This window comes from Homo sapiens, chromosome 5 (genome assembly GCF_000001405.40).
Source record: "Homo sapiens chromosome 5, GRCh38.p14 Primary Assembly".
NCBI lineage: Eukaryota > Metazoa > Chordata > Mammalia > Primates > Hominidae > Homo > Homo sapiens.
The window spans coordinates 105,227,536-105,248,535 of record NC_000005.10 but is presented as its reverse complement, the minus strand read 5'-3'; the positions used below and the strand labels follow the sequence as shown (position 1 = coordinate 105,248,535).

Sequence of the window (21,000 nt, the reverse complement as noted above, 5' to 3'; positions counted from 1 at the left end):
TTTCTAGCTTTATTCTATTGTGATTTAAAAAAGTGATATGATTTTGATCTTTTGTAAATTTGTTAATGCTCATTTTGTGACCTATCATATGGAATGTTCCACATACTGTTGAGTAGAATGTGTATTCATAAGATAGAGGTAATTTTTTAAAATGATAATTATGCTTGTATTGCATTTGATGTCTTGAATCTTGTGTGTCTGTATCTATCATTAAATTTGGGAAGTTTGTGGTCAGTAATCTTCAAATGTGTTTCCTAATTCATTCTCCCTTATTTTTCTTAAACTTAAATTGCTCATCCTTTAGATCAGTTAATATTTTCACCTTTCTTGGACACACTGCTTTTATTTTTTCTCTGTTATAAAATTGTTTCCTTTTAAAAATATTTACATAATTTTTATACATGCATATTCCAATTTGTTCTTTACTTTGCTGTGTCCAATCTGCTCTTGAGCCCGTTAGATAAATTCTTCCTTTCTGCTATTGTATTTTTAATGTCTAACATTTTCATTTGGACCTTTATAGTTCTACCTCTCTGATGAAATTTCCCAATTCTTTAGCATTTTTATTATAGTTATTTTAAAATGCTATCTGACAAATGTCTGTTACATCTCTGGGTTTATTTGTACTGACTATTCTCTTTCCTGGTAATGAGACACATTTAATTGCTTCTTCCTGAAAATATATTCAAGTTATTTTATGCAAGTTTAATTAATTTTATGCAATTTATTTTATATAAAAGACTACTAGAGACCAGAATAAATAATATATACCCTTAGAAAATAGCATATTACCTTTTCTATTAGGATGCTGCAGTGAGGGACTGAATCAATCTGATTATCAGTTGAGCTTGCCTGGGCTTTGTTAAGAGTTTTAGCTTGATTCAGTTTACCAGTGGTTAGAAATGTCTGGGTGATGGTTTTGGACATTTTCCTTAACAGGACTTGTCTTTGAACTGTCATGGTATGAGGGATTTCATTATCCTTTACAAACAAGCCGTCAACTTTCCGTACTGGAAGAGATCTCTGTCTACTTTAGTTCCTAGCTACCAATTTTGTGGGTTGTTGGTAGGTTCACTCTGCTTTCTGCTACCATGTTTCTCTGTTTCTAGAGCAATTTCTCCTTGCTTGGTTCTCTGCCTACTGCCTGACACTTTGTAAGAGCCCAGAATGGCTTAAAGGATTTTGTCTCAGCTCTCCTGCCGCACTCCTGGGTTATGGTAGCTGAAAGCCTAAAATGCCTCAGAGGAGTTTCTCTCTGATATCTTGACTTGGCTCAAATGGCTCAAATCTCCTTTAGGCTGAAGCTAAGAGTATTAAGATAAATATATTTCAGTTCCCCTTCCTGCCCCATCTTTCAGTAGCTGACAATTACTAAAATTATTGAAAACTATTTAAGTATTCTGCTGCTTGTGTCTCGCTCCATAGTTTCCTCTTCATCTGGTCCCTCTGCCAGCTAATGAGAGGAGTTGTTCTTCTTCTAATCTCTTCTGTGAATGTCTTGCTCTTCTCTGAATTTAGTTATTTATGTTTTCTGTGGCCATAGCTCTATGTTGGGTTGAAAAAACTACAATATTCTGATTTTTAGTTTTACCATCTTGATGAGTTTGTTAGAGTGAGAATGATAGTTTCTTTTTACTTTCTACACACTAATCAGAAAAGGAAGCCATGTGGGCCTTTATAGTTTCCAAATATGCTTCAAATATTTGCACACATCTTTTTTCATGAAAATGACTGATCAGTATAGCTTTAATTTCCCAACTAAAATCTACAGTTTACACTTTCCCTGAAGCATAAATTTTCTTTTCCTCAATTCTCTATTGGACAAATCTATCTAATATGTATGTATGATGCATGTATGTATGTATGTATCATCTATCTATCTATCTATCTATCTATCTATCTATCTATCTATCTATATCTAGTCTATCTACCTACCTACCTATTTACCTATCTACCTGATATGGTTTGGCTCCGTGTCCCCACCCAAATCTCATCTGGAATTGTATTCCCCATACTTATTGCATGTCAAGGGAGGGACTAGATGGGAGCTGACTGGATCATGCAGGTGTTTTCCCCCATGCTGTTCTTGTGATAGTGAGTGAGTTCTCATGAGATCTGATGGTTTTATAAAACATTTTTCCCTACTTGCTCTTTCTCACCTGCCACCAGGTAAGATGTGCCTGCTTCACCTACTGGCGTGAATGTAAACTTTCTGAGACCTTCCCAGCCATGTGGAACTGTGAGTAAACTAAGCCTCTTTCTTTCATAAATTACCTGGTCTTGGGTATTTCTTTATAGCAGTTTGAAAATGAACTAGTACACTACCTATCTGTCTGTCTGGGACTCGTATATATAGTTTCAAACCTGAATCAGAAATCCTCTATTCTTGTTAACAAGGTTTAACCTTCTCAAAGTATCATTTGCCTACCCAGTTTGCTTAATTCAGAACTTCATTCACCATTCTTCCCTTTTCCATTTCCCTCAACTGACACATACAAACAAGTTCTGCGATTTAACTTTTCTTGATTCTACTCAATGATTCCCTTTTTCTCCAATCCCACTGCCACCACTCTAGACCTGGCCATTATAATCTTTTCTCTGAATAACTAAAACAAACATTAACTGAGTATCCCTGACCCCTGCCTTATTCTTTTAAAAATTTCCTTAAATGCATACCAATATTTGGTGTTTATCATCCTAAAAATCTTTAATCATTTTCTATTATTTGTGCTAAATTAAAAAAATTCCTCCATGTCTTTCTTCACAATCTGATCCTTCAGCATCCACTCCCCTGTTTACTTTTCCCTTTCCATGTAAATAACTCTAAATAGTTGGATTATAGTTAATCTCTTCAAGCATGCCCTGTTTTTTCTTGCTTCAAGGAATCCATAGATGCTATTGTTTCTGCCTTTTTTACTCTTTTTATGCTACACCCTTCCAGTTGTTCTTTGCAAATGTAAAAACAAAACAAAACAAAAACTTAACAAATGCTTCTTATCAATACAAAATATTAGCAAATGTTACTGATCATTCCGGATTCAAGTTAAATACTTACGCTTTGTCTTTGTAAACCATCTTCCATTTGTTCTAATATATCGACATATACGTTCTTTTTTAGCTTTCCCTAACCAGAGTATGATGGGGAGGCCTTAATTATTTAATCCTGTGTCTCGTATCTGGTACATGGTAGGAATTATAAATGTTTGTTAAACAAATTAAATGAAAGAAAAATCTTCCGTGGGAAAAATAAGCCAATGCAAAGACAAGGATTTGTAGGCTCTCACTTTAACCTTTAATTTTTTTCCTCTACTTTTTCTAAATTAATGGTGAAGGGAGAGGAATAATCTTAGGGCTTTTGATATGATATGAGACATGATATGATATGTTACGATATGATAGAAATGATACGATATGATATGATATGATATATGTGATATGATACCATATGAGATATTTTACGATATGATATGTATGAGATTTGGTTTGATACGATATGAGAAAAGGGGAAAAAAGGCCAGACATTTGCTTAAACTATTATTTGAGTAAACACACACTTTTCTTGAGTATTCAGATAAGAAACATCCAATGTTTTGGAAACTATTTGAAATTACAAATTATAAATCACACATAATATAGTCATACTTGGCTCTACACCAAAATATTATATTTTGGAAACAAAGCATTAATCCATTCTTTAATTATATTTTTGAACATCATTTCAGTTTTGATCAGTGTCACATGTAAACTCATAAATATTGAACTAACATATTAATTTTATGGAACTACCATGCTTTACACTTTTAAAAGCTTCTATTTTTAAATATAGAGTTTTCAATTAAATAAATATATATTAATGCTACTTTAAACAAGATTTTAAAATTCAATTTTGAGTTCATTGGAGGCAAAAATATGGATCAGTATGTACCTATTTTTACATGGAGACTAGAGAAGCTGAATGTCCTGTTAAAACCCTACCTACACCACTTAAATGATGATGGCCTTGGGCAAGTATTTATTTTTCATCAATTTTTTATCTGTAAAATAAAAATTATAGTATCAGCATTTTCATCATAAGTTTGAGAATTAAATGTAATAATATATGCAAATCTTGCAGTACAATATCTGAAACATAGAAAGGGTTTTTATATCTATACATTTCATATTATGATATTTATTAGACAAATAAGTCTCTTATGATGTTTAGCTACAGAAATCTATATCTTCAGTTGAGTAATATTAATAACAGATCTTTATTATTACAGACATGATCTGACATATTAAACTGAGGCATAAAAGACAGGTGATTGTCCACAGTTGCAGAGTTGCCAAGGTTCAGAATTGAGACCTTAACCTTTGCCTTCAAATCTCAGGATCAGTGTTGTTGTTTTTACCATGGTATGCTGCTTCAAAAAAATTTAATAAAAGCGTTCTTGATATTATCGTAGAGGGAAATTCTTGTCCTTTTAAGTATTCTCCATCATTATAACCTATATATATTTGAAAAGAAAAACAATTCCTATGGTTCTTTAAAAAAGATTATAAATGTTATATGACCTTTTTTATAATTCAAGGTGGCATAGTTCAATGAGAATTACACTTTAGAGAAAGCATGGTGAAACTATGCCTATAAATTTTAATTTGATGTATCTGCAGGAAAATAGCTATAATTTAAAAACAGGATTTGAGTTATATGAATTAGTTTATCAACTCTTTCTTACTTTGCTGGAGTTATACAATTTTTTATTGTAGTAAACTTTAGTTGCATAGATTCAAAATTACTGCCAACTTCAACAAATGTTTCTTATATGACTTCTAGGTTCCATGCTTGGGCATTAAAAATTATTATATGCTATTGAAGTTGATAGCTAAAGCTAAAATAGAAAAGTTCACAGAACTATTGCCCCTCTCTCTGTTAAAAATCTTTTCATTGTTTTCTATGTGTAACATATTCTGTTTTCTAGATAAAGTTAAAACTTTTTCAACAGGGACAGACTTACCACTAAATCAACGAAACTTGAGCCATTAAGGTGCCCAACTCCACTTTCAAAAACTGAGACTCTATGAATATGTTTACTTGCCCATAGTATTTTCATAAAAATTGCATAAGTAAGCAATTAACATTTAATTTAAATGTAATTAGATAAACTCATTTACATTTTACCTTATTCTCTCTCATAGGTCACATTTCATTTCATTTTTAGTGACTCTGCAATGACCATGGACATTATTTTTTAATTGTTAAGGTAAACATGATTTGAAATATATTTAGGTTGAGTTTATTGAGATTAAGGATAGCTCTAGATACGGGGGGAGAGGTGTAGCTTCCATTTGAAGGGATAACAGTGTGGAAAACAGTAGAATAGTTTGATGTGAAATTCCCTGGGCCTCTTCCACAGCCTTATACAAGGTAGGGGTTTTGAAAATTAAAGATTCATTAGCTTCATGGTAAATTCACTGTTCTTTGAGATTCAAGTATGTAGTTTGCAGTCACCTTGTTTTAGTTGTTTAATTAGGTCAAAACTGACAGATAATTAATAGGATTTTTAAAAGAACATTTGTCTTGGATTCTTCCCTTAGCTTTTAAAATCGTGGATTAGTAATTCCATAGGCCTTCGATTAAGTCTCTGGACTTCCTGTTACCTTTTGAATTTTCTTCATGTTTCTCTTGGGTTCGTTTCCTGTTTTCTGAAACATTTATATTCTGCTTTCATTACTTATTCCCTCATTTTGTAAAATATGTAACCTTTAAAGAATCCTTTTTTAGTTGTATTTTGAGTTTAAAGGTAATTTTTCTTCTAATGGATTTAATTGTTAGCTGTGTGCAAGAATAAGTGCTGGTAATAAAAAGTGGGCATTATTCTAAGGCCCAATCTACCCAAAACACATTTAATAATCACAAAAGAAAACAGAAGATTATTTTATTATTACTTTAATTTTACATATGAGGAAATTCAAGTATGGCGAGGTTAAATAACATATTTAAGATTATACATTTAGGAAGAGACCAAGATAAATGTCATATCTCAGCTATCAGGCTCCATAGCTTATCCTCCAAACAATCATACTATCGTGTTTTTCAAAACAAGCATTTTAAGTCTTTTTTTTGCACACTATTTTGTATTCTTACACTTTATGCTTACTGTTTGTTTTTCATTTATTTTTATTTAACTGTGCTTCTTTTAGTACTTTATTAAATTAGAAGACATACAGACTATTTTTCATTATGATAGTAGCTATTTTTCTAATTATCAAAGTAAAAATCATATAGCATCAGTCGACTCTTCCAATGTAAGAAGAAAAAATCAGCATGTGTCCGCTGTCTATCTGCACCCAATCTAATATTGTTAGTTTTAAAAAAGATCACTTTTTTCTCAAGAGAAATGTTGACTTTTTAAAAAAGTTTGCTTTCAAAAATAAATTTTTAAACATAAAGCTTCACTGTTCATTAATTATTCTTTTTTAAATTTGACAAGTTTTCTCTTAAAAATTTTTTTTATATGAAATAGGGAATTTCCCCCCTTGGATCCTCATTTTAACTCCCAGTACATAATGCATAAAATGAAAACCCTCCATTACAGAAACTGTGCTTAGAAAAATGTCTATTTTGGGTAATTATTTGTACCACATTCAATTCTCAGCTGATGTGAACAGAAGGCTTAGAAAATCCCAGCTGTATAGTGAGATCAATTTTTATTTTTCTGGGTTTTCTACTATATAGTAGATATTTACTCCAATGCAATAAAAAGCAGACAGTCCAAAATATTGATATATATTCTCTAAAAATCAATATGGTCTTTACTATTTTGTGAATTTTATTTGCACTAAATAGGTGCACGTATTAAAAATTCAATAATAAAAATAACAATATTACATTTCCACTTAAATATCAGACTCACAGGTAAAGATGTAGCAAATATGAACTTCATCTCAAAAAGTCCTTGGCAAGATTTGCACAATGTTAGCCAAATATATTGGAGACAAACCTTCTATCTTCAGCTTCAGTGAATCGTTGTATAGCAAAATCTGCTGTAGATTGTTTCTAAGAAAATAGATGTGAGAAATAAATTATATTTTTACAGATCTCCAAGGAACCTGTCTTCTTTCAGTTGCAAATAATTTGTATAAGTTTGCCTCAGACTATTTAAAAATCAATCCCAGGAAATGTTTTGAAATATTTCCACTTAAATGAAAGATTAATGCTTGTATTAACTTAGAAATTATATTAATGCAGTGTTGCCAGTGGGCAAAATATGAATAAGAGAAGGAAAATGATACCAGTTGTGTTCTAATATACAGACAGCTATGTGTTATCCATTTGATTCTTAATAATACCACTTTTAGGTTAGTATTTATATCACTGTTTCACAAATGAAGCAATGCAGACTCAGGGTCGTTTTAAAAGTTGACTAAATTGATATAGATAGCTATAATTAAATTCGATATGTGTACCCTGGTATTTTAGTAATCTATCAGACAGTAGAGAAGATGTGCATGTAAAGGGAGTTGTGTTGATTATAGGTACGAGTTTATACATATCTGTTGGAGGATTCTAGCTATCAAAGTTAATCATTAGCAAAATTTAAAAAATAAAGTTTAAAACAATTTGGGTGCCTAATAATTCATTAATTATATTATTTTTAAAGTTTACTTTAAAATTGTTAACTTCATCAGTGTTTTTAAATCAGACGGCAATTCTCTTTGGCTCACAGCATACTTGATTGGAAGAGTGAAATGCATGCTTGAATTACCTATATACTGAGACATTCTTTTCATCTCTTCTTCACCATGTTTATTTTTGTGTCTCATTTTGTCTCTCCCTTACTTAATTGATTTCTCTGTTCTTCCACTTCCCCCTTACTCATTTTTTAGCAAGTATTTCTTAATTTCAAAGATAAATAAGATTAAGTAATACAATAGCAAGATTTTCAAAGCACTCAAGCATAAGTATACATATATAAATATAAGGTATAAATATTTGTATATATATAATGTAATCTCTCTCTCATATTTTATCTCTTTCTTTCTCTGACATCTTCATTATTCCTTTTTATGAGGACTTGATTTTTCTGATTGGCAGGTATATCTTTCAAATATGGTTCTCCTGACTCCCAATGTACTATAATCAACCAATGAAAGCTTCATTTACAGAATGCAATTTTGGAGTCTCACTTCCAAATTCTCTGGGTAACCTGATTGCTCCATTTTTTACTTTCATCAGTTTCATTCTTTATACAATCACATGTGGCCTTTGAAGGAAGAGATTGGTAGAGTGTCACTGTTTACTTCTGCCTGCCTACCCAATTTTATTTATTGTAATACTTTCACCTCTATTGCCAAATACCTGACTATAGGGAGTCACCTTAACAAGTGACTTTCCAAGTCTCAGCTAATCTTAATCTTGGTTTTCACTGCTGTTCTCCACTTGTTTTCACTGCTTGTTCTCCACCACTCTTAGTGTATGTGTGTTATGTGGGCAATTGAGTGGAATAGAGCAGGGCTGTGGGTTTCTACTTAATAGTATATGATGCATATTAAGCCTAAAGTATATGTTTTTGGATGAATAACCAAAGTAAGCATTATTTGACATATATAGTAGGCATAAAATGTACTTTAGTAAGCAAAACAAGAACTTCAAAGAAATAGTTTTCCATTGTTTAGTAGCTGAAGGAAAAAAATTGATCGTAAAATGTTTATATTAGCAATTTGAAAAGCTATATTTCCTCAAAGATAAAAAGTTTAAGTTAGAAATGATGACTCAAAGAATGTCTCTATTTCATAATATTTTAATAATTAGCGTAGAATTACTACATTTAATACACATATAGTTTTGTTTTCTATTGACATTAAACAATAAAATCTTAATTTATTTTAGTAACAATAGTTGTAAGAAACTATTAGATAACAGTTTGAATACTGGACTTTAAAAAATTGTTCAAAAAATTGTAACAGGTATTAGAAGAAGACATTAAAAATGGCATACTTAATCATGATATTAAGTAAATCCCTATCCATTAAAATATGTATTAAAATTTTTATAAAAAGCTCTGAAAGAATAAGCATATCCTTGAAAAGAGAGCTGTGTTCACTCTCATTTTTCAGTCTTTCATGAAGCAATGAATATAGCACACACTGCCCCCACATAACCCTGTCATGATTAAGCATCCAAATTCTAAATTACAGTAAGACCTTTTTTACTGTAGGGGATCTCCCTGTTATGGAGAAGATCTTTTCATTAACAGTCATTCTATCATCACTAAACACTTTGAAACTTAGTGTGAAAATCATATGGTTTCTTTTCCTTTTTATAATGTTGCAGACTGCAAACACAATTGATATTTATTGATAATTAGGTACTCTATTACATATAAGTTTATATGAATAATATTGTTTATCATAAGCATATACTAACATTAACATATAAGGATTTTCATTAAATTTTTATCAGCATTCAGTTATTAACATTTTAGCCTAAGTATATGCTTTTATTAGATATGAAAAAGCAACATTTTAAGATTTATTGTAGTTCTTTCATGCCCCAGGATCAACTGACTATTTACTGTAAGAAACAGCATTTCCTGTCTTCCTATCAATATTTTAAAAATATGAGTTACTTTATCTTACCAACCTAAACAAATGACCCCATCACTTAATATTTTATTTCTAAGTGTCCAATAAATATTTAAGCTTACTTACATGGTTGCACGTTTTTCTTTGGTGCTTCAGTTCACAAGTTTAAATCCCAGCTTAAGATGTGACTCAGACACATGCTGACACAGCGATAAAAATGACTGGTTTTCTAGGAAATGTGCTCACATTTTGAAAGTAGAAACACGGTCTTATTTTGAGGTTCTTGGATAATACCTATAAAAAATCTCATTGGTATTTTTCAAAAACAATCAAATAACTTGATCTTATATGAGCCATGGTATTTTTCCTTAGTCTAATAGTTAAAAAATCTAATGACTTGTAGCCATATATGTCTTTGTATTAGCTATACCATTAATTCAATAAACTTGTCAGCTGTGAACTATTCAATGCTGTGTTTATAAACAGCCTCAATACTCTTGCAATATACATTTAACATTTTATTTTTTTTTCAATTCTTGTTGTTGAAAAGCTTTCCAAAATGTGCTAGTTTACTTTTCTGCCTTGGATGGAAGTACAGAATATCAAATTAATATAGTGTTGTCTGAATATTTATGGTCTCTGGTTTGACTGATACCATAATCAGGGTTACAAACCTTTGTGTAATACCTAGATGATGTAAGGAATTGATTTATTTGTATATAATAGAAGTTTCATTTTTAACAAAGTGGTCAGTAATGTGTGTGTATAATGTCTGTGGGTGTGTATGTGTGATTTGTTACTTCTTTATGAATGCAGACTTTAGCTAATTTTACAATTCAATAGGCTTCAGTCAATTGATGATTTACTCTATTGAGAAACAAGATACACTTTAGTACTATAATAAAAAAGTAATTAATGAAATAAATTCTGCCTGAAGAAAATCAAAATGTTCCTAGCCTTTCCCACCCTCCAAGAATACTGAAAAAGATCCATTTCAAGATACAAAATGCGTCCATGTTTTATCTCAGTTTCTTAAAAGAAATTTCCAGGGTAGTTAACATTGCCATAGGAAACTGATAGACATTAGTATAAAAGAGCAGGAACACTAACACCTGATGATAGCTCTGGATTTGAGTTCTGGTTGCACAGAAGACAAGCACCTTGGCTCAGGCAGCTGTACTTAATTTCCAAAAGTAGGTTACCTCATGTGTTGAATAGAGATTATAGAATTTTCTCTAGGATTGTTGCAAAGATTAAATAAGATAAACTTCTTAAATTACTAAGAAAGTTCTTAGGAAACAGTATGTACTAAATAAATATAAGTTCCCTAATATTACCCATACATAATAATCAATATGTATTTCTCCACAACTGGATCCAAATGGCTATGAATGTTCAGATAAACCTAATATGTGTAATAGCAAAGAAAAATAATGCCATATCTGTGTACAAACAATTTCTCATTAAAAGAGATATTAAACATAAGTATATATACTGTAAAGTAATATACATTCTCATATCTCAATCCTAGAGATTGTGGTAGTTTGGTATGAGGGCCCAAGAATGAACATTTTTAATCCTACTTAATTCTAATACTGGTTTCCTGGGAAATCAGGTTGAAAATCAATGCTAACAATTGACCTACTCAAAGTAAAAAATACTTACATATTTATGACTGCAAAATGAAGTCACATAAAAAGTTAAAGAATTTTCCATTACTAATTTGTAGAAATATTATGCGATTTTTACTAAATAATATTATGGTATTTAATGCCAATCAATGAACAATATATTGAACAATATATTCAATAAATTTTGCATATGAAAGTTTTGAGTGAAGCTAGTCAGGTGAGCAACATAAAACTCATGTTCAAATCCAGGGAAGAAGAGCATGAATTATTTCCCAGTGGAGCCAAGGACAATTATTAGTGATACGACATTATAGAAGAGTTCATATTATGAGAAATTTTCATTTGCATTAACCTATAAAAGGGCCTTCAATTTTAAGATGCTGGATCTCCTCTCTACCTGAGTAAATGACACAATTGAGAATGGAACAATAATACATTTTATTATTAAGAAAGTATGCAACTTGCAAACTATTATACTCTGAGAGTTTTTTTTTTAAACTTGATTTACTTTACATTGAGCTGTTGTTATCTTTAAAATTGTAGTGTTAAACACTTTTTATGTTGAAACATAATACATATTTTGATGATTAGGGCATTAGTTGAAAAGAATACATATAATTTATAAGACTATCCACTCTGAAATCCTGTTAATCTTCAATTGACTGAATTCTTGAGTTTTCAGAGGGAATAAAAATATAAGAGGATTTTTGTATTGTTTTGTATTGTATTGTGAATTCTTGAGTTTTCAGAGGGAATAACAATACAAGAGGATTTTTTGTATTGTTTTGTATTGTATTGTTTTTAAATGATTAAGAGTGATTTTAAATAATTTTAAATGATTATTTAAAAATTATGGAAACTAGTTTTATTTTTAACATTCTTATAAAAATATTTAAAGTAGCACAGTCTTTTTACAATTATAGTAAAATATGGCATTTTGGAGATTCTACGGATTTTAAAATGAACACTATAAGGAATGATGATAATGACAATAATGGCAGTAATATTAAAATTCACAATAATTATAGCATTATTTTATTAAATGTTAACTAGATGACAAGCTATGTATTCAGTGTTTTATTGATATATATCACTTATTTCTCATAACATGTTATATTTATAAACCATTTTATAGTCATGAGAACTGAGGCTCAAAGCAGTTGATTAATTTGTTTAAATTTACCCATTTAGGTGAGTATCTTGATCCAGATATGCTCACTTCAAATTTTTTAAATCATCACACTCAACTGGTTTCCACCTACTGATATTTTCCTAAATAAAGTTAGGTATACTGTTTAAAAAACTTAGTTTTTTTCAGTTGACTAGGAAGACTGCTAGTAAATTTACCAATTGCAGCTTCTCATCTAAAAATGCTACCTTTCTTTTTCTTTCTTTCTTTCTTTTTGTAGTGCATGAGTCTCGCTATATTGCCCAAGCTGGTCTTGAACTCATGGCCTCAAGTGATCCTCCCTCTTTGGTCTCCCAAAGTACTGGGATTACAGATATGAGTTACTGTGCCCTGTCTGAAAATGCTACATTTTAAAAAAAGCACAAAATGCCTTGGTGCTTTCTGATTCTAACATCTGAATGATTTGGCTTTCTACCGTTATTTGCAGTATAGTCTTGTAGGTTACACTCAAATGGAATCCCAGTACTAGGATAGGAAATGTCCTTCAGTGAACACATTATTATAGGTTTATGTCATAAGTGTAAATCGGACCATGAAGGAATTTCTCCCCAGGTGCATTGATCCAGGCCTAATCTTTAGTAGCTACTTTTAGGTAGTTGCTTAGAAAATCAAATCAAATTCACAGTAATGAAACATAGTCTCCTGTGACAAGTTTTATTTGGCATTATCCAGCTCGTTGCTTCCATTGTAGATAGTAATTTTTCAATGCATCATTATTTTTTAGCGGTTCTTTTCAGGTATAATTGACATACAGTAAACTGCATATATTTAAAGTGTACAATTTTATAAGTTTTTGCATATGTGCACATCTGAGACCATCTTCACAATCAAGATAATGAATATATTTATAATCACCAAAAGTTTTCTCATGCCGTTGATAATACCTCCTTCCTCCCACTGCCTGCTCCTCCAACTCCAGCCCTACATGTTCCCAGGGAACTGCTGATTTCCTTTCTATCCTATAGATTAGTTTGTATTTTGTACCATTTTGTATAAATAGAACGATGCAATATACCGTAAAAGAGAGTCATACTTTGAAGGAGGTGGGAGGTTTGGTTTTCTTCACCTAGTGGGATCATCCATGTTGTTATGTGTATTATTATTATTATTACCTAGTAGTTTTCTACCATATGAAAATACCACAATTTGCTTATTTTTTCACTTGTTAATATTTGAATTGTTTCCAGTTTAAGGTTACGATCAATAAAACTATTATACATAGTTTGGTGTGTGTTTTTTGATGTGTGCTTTCCTTTCCTCTGGTAAATACCTAAAAGTGGAATGGCTGATCATATAGTGAGTGTATGTTTAAGTTTTTGAGACACAGACATTTTCCAACTTTCCCACTTGTACTATTTACATTCCCAGTAGCAGGGATATGTTCAGATTTTTAATTTTAGCCATTCTTATTATTATGTAATGGTGTCTCATCGTGGTTTTAATTTACATATCCCTAAATACTTATGAAGTTGAGCATTTTTTTCCTATGCTTATAAGCTATCCATATATCTATTTTGGCAAAGTGTTCATTCAAACCCTTGCCCATTTTAATTAGGTTGTTTGTTTTCTTATTATTCAATTTTTATTTTTCAGTCCAAGCAGTAAAGTGAGATCTTATTATTGAACTTTGAGCATTTATATATTCTAGATATAATTTCTTTATGAGATATATGCATTGTACATATTTTCTCCTGCTATATGATACGTCTTTTCATTCTCTGTGTTCCAAATAGCAGAAGTTTTTAATTTTTGTGAATTTAAATTCATATTTTTAAAAAATGGATTGTGCTTTTGGTGTCATACCTAAAGATTTTCCCTAATCCAGGGTTATAAATATATTCCCTGTGTTTTTTTCTCAACATTTCATACTTTAGTTTTAGAGCTACGGCACACTTTGAGTTAACTTTCATATAGTATGCGAGATATGTATCAAAGTTTATTTTTATATGGATATTCAAATGTCTAGCACCATTTGTTAAAGAGACTATCTTTTCTCCATAGATTTGCCTTTGCATCTTTGTCAAAAATCAATTGTCCAGATATATGTGAGCCTAGTTCTTGATTTTATTGTGTTCCATTGATCTCTTTGCCTGTCATATCTATCTTGATGCACATAACACTATCTTGAGTAATGTTTTATAATATAATTTTTAGTCAGGTAATGTTAGCTCTTCAACTTTGTTCTTCACCAAAGTTGTTATAGATATTCTGTTTTCTTTGCATTTCTATGTTAATTGTAGGGTCAGCTTGGCAATTTCTCTAAAAACAGTTGGCTAGATTTTCATTGGTTTTGTAATAAATGTATAAATCAGTTACCCTCTTAATATTAATGAGCCTTCCAATCTCTTAACAATATATGACTTACATAAAGAAGATCTAAAACCTAGATTTATTTATATCACTTTTAATTTATCTCAGCAGCATTGTGTGGTTTTCAGTATATCATTCTTGCATATCTTTTGACAATGTGTTCCTAATTGTTTCATGCTTTGAAAGTTATGTTTTATTTTTTATTTCAATTTTCAATTGTCCATTGCTACTATCTAGAATCACAATTGATAATACAGTATCTTGCAAATGTGTTAAACACATTTATTGGTAGTAGCTTTATTGTAGATTCCATTGGATATTCTACAAACATGTCATTGCATATGTGAATAAAATCAGTTTTAATTTTTTTCTTTCCAATGTGATATCTTTATTATTTATTTACTTAGAAAACTCACTGCACTTGCTGAAACCTCCCATACAATGCTTAATAGAAGTGGTGAGTGTATATATCCATTTTGTTTTGATGGTATTGTTCCTGATCTTAGGACTAAAGCATTCAGTCTTTCTCCTTAAGTAGAACATCAGCTGTAGTTTTTTTAAATGTACATTTTTCTGGTTAAGGAATTTCCCTTCTATTCCTAGTTTATGAGAGGTTTTTGTTTTTGTTGTTGTTGTATTTCATTTTTGTTTTTGTTTAAAATGGATATTGGGTTTTCTCAATTGTCATTTCCATGTCTTTATTGAGATAACCATATGGCTTTCATATTTTAGTGTTTCATATGATGAATTATTTTTAACCCAAACTGAAAGTATTCAACTTTTGATTGAATTGTTTGGCCCATTTACAAGTCATGTGATCATTGATATGATCAGGCTTAAGCTGAGAATCTTACATTTAAAAAAAAAAAAAATTTTCTGGCCGGGCATGGTGGCTCATACCTGTAATCTTAGCACTTTGGGAGGCCGTGACAGGCAGATCACCTGAGGTCAGGAGTTCGAGAGCAGCCTGGCCAACATAGTGAAAACCCATCTCTCCTAAAAATATAAAAATTAGCTGGGTGTGGTGGCGGGTGCCTATATTCCCAGCTACTCACTGAGGCAGGAGAATCACTTGAACCTGGGAGGCGGAGGTTGCAGTGAGCAGAGATCACGCCACTGCACTCCAGCCTGGGGTGACAGAGTGAGACTCAGTCTAAAAAAAAAAAAAAAAAAAATCCATGTGTTCTTTGCCATTTTTTTCTGCTATCTTTTGTGGTTATGGAGTTCAATTGTATTTACCTTTTTTGACTTATTACATATAACCTTTTGTTTTGTTATATTAGAGGCTAATCTAGGTAGGGTTTACAGTATACCTCTTTAACTTTTCACAGTCTATTTTCAACTTGCATTATCCCATTTCACCTATAGTATATGCATTTTACAATATGCTAATTTCTAGTGTCCAATATTTATAATAACGTTTTCATAGATTTTACTTATTCATATGTTATAAACTCCACAATAATTATTCTTTTACAGAAAGCTACTTTTTAAAGATATTTAAATAATTTAAAAATTCCATATTTACCCACTCATTTACTGTTTCTGGTCCCCTTTGGTTTTTATGTTGCTCCATATTTTCATCTGCCATCATTTTCTTTCTGGCAAAAGATTTTCTTTAATACTTTTTGAAGTATGGGTCTGGTAGTAATAACCATTTTAGCTTTGTATGTCTGAAAAAGTTTTTATTTTGTCTTTATTTTTGAAAGATTTCATTGAACATAGAATTCAAGCTCAATTTTTCTTTTCTGCTTTTTGTTGTTGTTGTTGTTGTTTGGTTCGTTAAAGATGTTGCACTACTGTCTTCTTGCCTGCATTGTTTCAGGAAGGATCCAGCTGATATCCATCCCTTTGAACTTCTGGGTACACCATGTCTTTATTTTCTGGATGCTTTTATAGTACTATCCTATTTTTGAGTGATTTGATTATAATTTACACTGATATCATTCTATTTATATTGCTTGTACTTGAACATTGCTAAGTTTCTTGAATCTATGGGTTTATAGTTTTCATCAAAATGGAAACAATTTTGGCCCATTTATTTTTCAAATATTTTTTCCTGTAATTCTCTCTCTCTCTTTTGGGATCTCCAATTAAACATATATTAAGCATCTATGCTGCTCAATGTTTTCCCACAATCCATTAATAGTATTTTGAAATTATTTTTTTCTTCTCAGTCTTAGTTTTCAAAATTTCTGGTGTTATACATCCAAGCTCACTAATCTTGTCTTTTAGAATATCTAATCTGCCATTAGTAACATCTAGTATATTTTTTATTAAAGATATTCTGGTTTTAACCTGTACATGTTTAACTTGGATCTTTTAAAATATTTTTCCACATCTTCATATATTTTTTAATATATGAAATACACTGTCAATAACTATATTAGTGTCCTTTTCTGCTCATTTAACATCTGGTTTTGTTCTTGGCAAGTTTTTCTTGGTGAAATTTCTTACTCATTATGGGTTATATTTTTCTACCTCTTTGCTTTACTTGTAATCTTTTATTGAATGTCATACTTTGTAAAATTTATCTTTTATAAAATTTTATGAATTTTTTTCATTTCTACAGATCTTCATGGGCTTTGTTTTAGGATGCAGTTAAATTACCTGAAATTATTTCATATTTTTTATTCTTTCTTTTAATATTTGTTGGGAAATAGCAGAGCTGTAGTTAACTTACTGCTAATAGTTCTTCATCATTGAGACAAGATTCTTTTCTGTACTCCATCCAATGCCCCACGAATTATGAGGTTTTCTCATCTTTCTAAAGGGAACAGGCCAAATTCTCAGCTCTGTCTAAGTAAGCACTAGACACTTTTATATCTAATCTGAGACATTTATTTACCCGGCCTTGAGTGTTTACTTCTCATGTATGCAACAGTAGTATTCTGCCAAATACTCCAGGGATACCCTTCAGCTTTGTCTGGAGTTCTGTACCTATTGCGAATGTAAAAGATACCAGGATGAAATCACTTTTTGTCAGATCCAAACAGACTAGAGCTAAGAGAACATGAAGGGGAAAGGCTTATGCTTGCCTGTCTGAGATAAAGACTATCTTGATAACTTTCTAAAATAATCTCACAAAAAAAAATGCTTTCTTAGGACTACAATCATTCAGATAAGGTGCTGTCAAGAGAATGTTTGCCCAGTAACCATCTCCAGCAGTGAACTGACGCCAACTGTGGCTTTGTGTCTCTGAAACCAGTGAAATCTATTTCCAAGCAGCTTATGTAAACTTCTCCTTTTGCCAATAGAAGCTTCCTTTTACCATCTCCTCTTCAGTTGCACATGTGTTTTGGCAGAGCTGTGCATCTCAGGTTATAATCCTCATTTCTCATTCCTGAATACATTCAACATATTTAGTTTTTTTTTTCTGTGATTTTTGTTGTTGTTGTTGACACTGTATGCTCTTTAATCTCCTGTACTTTGTTCTGTGAACCCTCATTGCCTTGACTCCACAGAATCTCAGCCCCATCTCTTCATCTCAGGGAGTCTTTCAAGCTTCACTTCAGTTTCCTGTTCCTGACACTGGACATTTTCTCAAGGCACTAAACTAGGGTAATCGCAGTACTCACTTAATTTTTCTCCCACCTCTCAGTGATCACTTTCCCTTTTGGTCTTCAATTTTTGGTTGTTTCCAATAAGGAAATGAATCTTACACCACTTACTTTATTGTCTGGAAGGATAAATCTTTAATGCTTTACTGATAACCTAATTGTATTATGAAAGTAATAATAATTACAGCTATTTAAGCAAGAATATATATTCCTCTTTGGTAAAATATAATGAACTCTGTACACATTGATATTGTAGAATGTTTCAAAAATCCCCCAAAAGCTTGTGTTCTGGTCCTTAATGTGTATTTCCTTACAACCCGTTTTATACAGCGTGGCTAGCATTCTGATTTGCTTCTCACAACAACTTTGTAGTGTTCATGAGAAGAAAACCATTGACTGATAAATTCCTATTAGATGAACTATTTTGGTAGCAAGTCCAGTGTCAATCACATATCAGAAAAGAACCCCAGAACACTTGCATAATGAAGAAGCAAAGTTTATATTTTGGCCCAGACCCTTTAAAAATTACATGACTTCCATGACATTGTATTTTCATAGATAGAATAGGTATAAAACATAAAATGCTATAGTTATTAGTATAGACTCTTGTTCAAAATGGAATTTTGCGAAGATGTTTTTACATAAGCTACTAAATAAATTGAATTATGAAAGAAATTTTGGGAACAAAATTGAAGTGTCCTTGACAGAGAACTATGATAGAGATTAGTACAGTTGGAAAGCAGTAACTTCATTATTGAGATAGACAAAGAAGGAAAAGACTAGAATAGTAGAATATTTAAGAATAAAGAATATAGGTGGACTCATATTAAAAACAAGAATTTACTTCAAAATCCACTTATTTTCAATACATGAAAAGTGTCTCACTCTTAAAACACATAGAAAATAATTCAGAACTTATATAAACAACAATAATTTAAAAATTTTTGAAAAGTTAGAGTTGTAATATAAAACCTTTGTTTTAAATTTAATTGTTACCTTTAAGGGATAAACACATTATATAATGATACGCTTTAAAAAATATTTCATATGATACAGGTGTGTTTATATATGATCTAGGTTCCTCTTTCAGTACTATATTTAATTTTGGCTTTCTTGATATGTGTGGCAAAGAGGGAAATCTCTTAGTTCATATTTACTTTATTTAAATAAAATTTAATTTAAGAGTTTTTTTCTGGCACTAAATGTTTAAATCAACTTATTTACATGAAAATACACATACATACATATACACAGTATACATTATATGCAATAACTTATAAAATGTACATATTCACATAAATGTTGTAACTTATCAGGAACAGAATCAACTTCGTAAATTTAACAAGAAGAATAACCTTACCTCATGTCTCATCAAGAAAATAGGTATAATATTCCTTGGCTTTTCTCCTTTATTTTTTCAAAGGCTTTAAAACTATAAAAGAAGATTTTATATCATTTAAATAAAAAACTATAATGTCTAATCACAGTATCTCTTGTTGGTTAGAGTACTATAAAAATAAGTAAGGATAAATTCATAAAATATATTTCAAAGATTCTCCACTTTTTGTATTTTTATAAACTTGACCATCTAAAAATCCTTCCAGAATTTCAAGTCCTCCTTCTTAAATATGATTTATGGAAAAATTAGGAGATGAAAATTTGTTCTAGCATAATTTCATTATTTCACTTTGCTCTTTGGGCCTGAACATCTAAACCTCCTAAAAAGACATAATGGAGTTTAGGTTGCAACAACTGGGGAAGCCAACTGGTAAAATTGGTCTTTATCGGAAGGATATAGGGGCCTCAGGGCCAAATTCTAATGATATCTCTTTGCTTCCCTTTCCCTACAGTTCAAAAACCATTTTTTAAAATTCTACAAGTGTATATATTTTGAGGTCTATTTTATTTGCATTTATCACAATTTTATATTAACCTCAATATTAAACATTTTAGAATGCATTTTGTTGTTTTGACATTGAGACATCTAAGTCGTATAACCTACATATATTTTTCTTTAAATGTTCATGTGGTACAGATGAGTGTACACAAATATAAATTGAGGGTTAAACTTGAGTTTAATTTTAAGTATGGAATTGATAGCAAGTGAGTTTTTTTTTAAATTAAACTACACTTTCTAATTCTTTGATTTGATCTTAATGATTTGTTATTCAACCTAAAACTCTGTCATTAAATAAAACATCCTGTTAAAATCTAATTAATCCTGAAAAAAGGTTCAGGATGGGGCAAAGGTTGTCCAAAGCAATACACTAAAGTTGTTAGAAAATTACTTTTCCTTCTTCTGAAAGTGAAGAGTGAAGTCAATATGGAAATTATAATTTATCTTGCTGCTCCAGTTATTTTAATACATTATTTGGTTGAAAAGCAATAAACGTTTGGTTTTGTCTAAATTTCGATGTCCAGATTGGTAAACAAATTACTGATGAAAAAATTCTGACTACCCTGGACTCAAAACACCATTTCTGTAAAAACGGTGCCTTTGTAGCTGATTAGGTCTATATAAGGAATACTGACATTTTAAGGAAGAAAACATCAATGAATGGGTCGAGAAATATTAGAGACTCTTAGAGGTGTGAGGTTGGATTTGATCTAAAGTTGAAAACAGTCCAATTCTTTTTCTCTTATCTTTAAAAAATACCAAACTACACAGAGCAAAGAGTAAAGGTAATTTGTGCAGATCTTGATTCTGAGATACTTACTAAATAGCAATGCTGTAACAGAAAAA

At 30.9% G+C, this 21,000-nt stretch overlaps 1 long non-coding RNA gene across 2 annotated transcripts in view, besides 1 other annotated feature; it reads left to right on the top strand.

Annotated features, from left to right (window-relative positions):
• LOC105379110 (uncharacterized) overlaps nucleotides 1–5,388 on the top strand; it is a 149,823-nt gene extending 144,435 nt beyond the window's left edge. Inside the window, exons 2-4 of one of the 2 annotated variants that reach the window (XR_948649.3) lie at nucleotides 2,170–2,239; nucleotides 4,263–4,395; nucleotides 5,179–5,388. This is a non-coding gene — a long non-coding RNA (uncharacterized LOC105379110). The remainder of the gene's footprint in view (nucleotides 1–2,169; nucleotides 2,240–4,262; nucleotides 4,396–5,178) is intronic. The other variant, XR_948650.3, reaches the window with a different exon arrangement.
• Nucleotides 10,501–10,701: a silencer, noted in NCBI's record as "peak5386 fragment used in MPRA reporter construct". NCBI's record gives its function as "represses an SCP1 promoter by STARR-seq MPRAs in K562 erythroleukemia cells {active_cell/tissue: K562}" and the evidence as "EXISTENCE:reporter gene assay evidence [ECO:0000049][PMID:32103011]".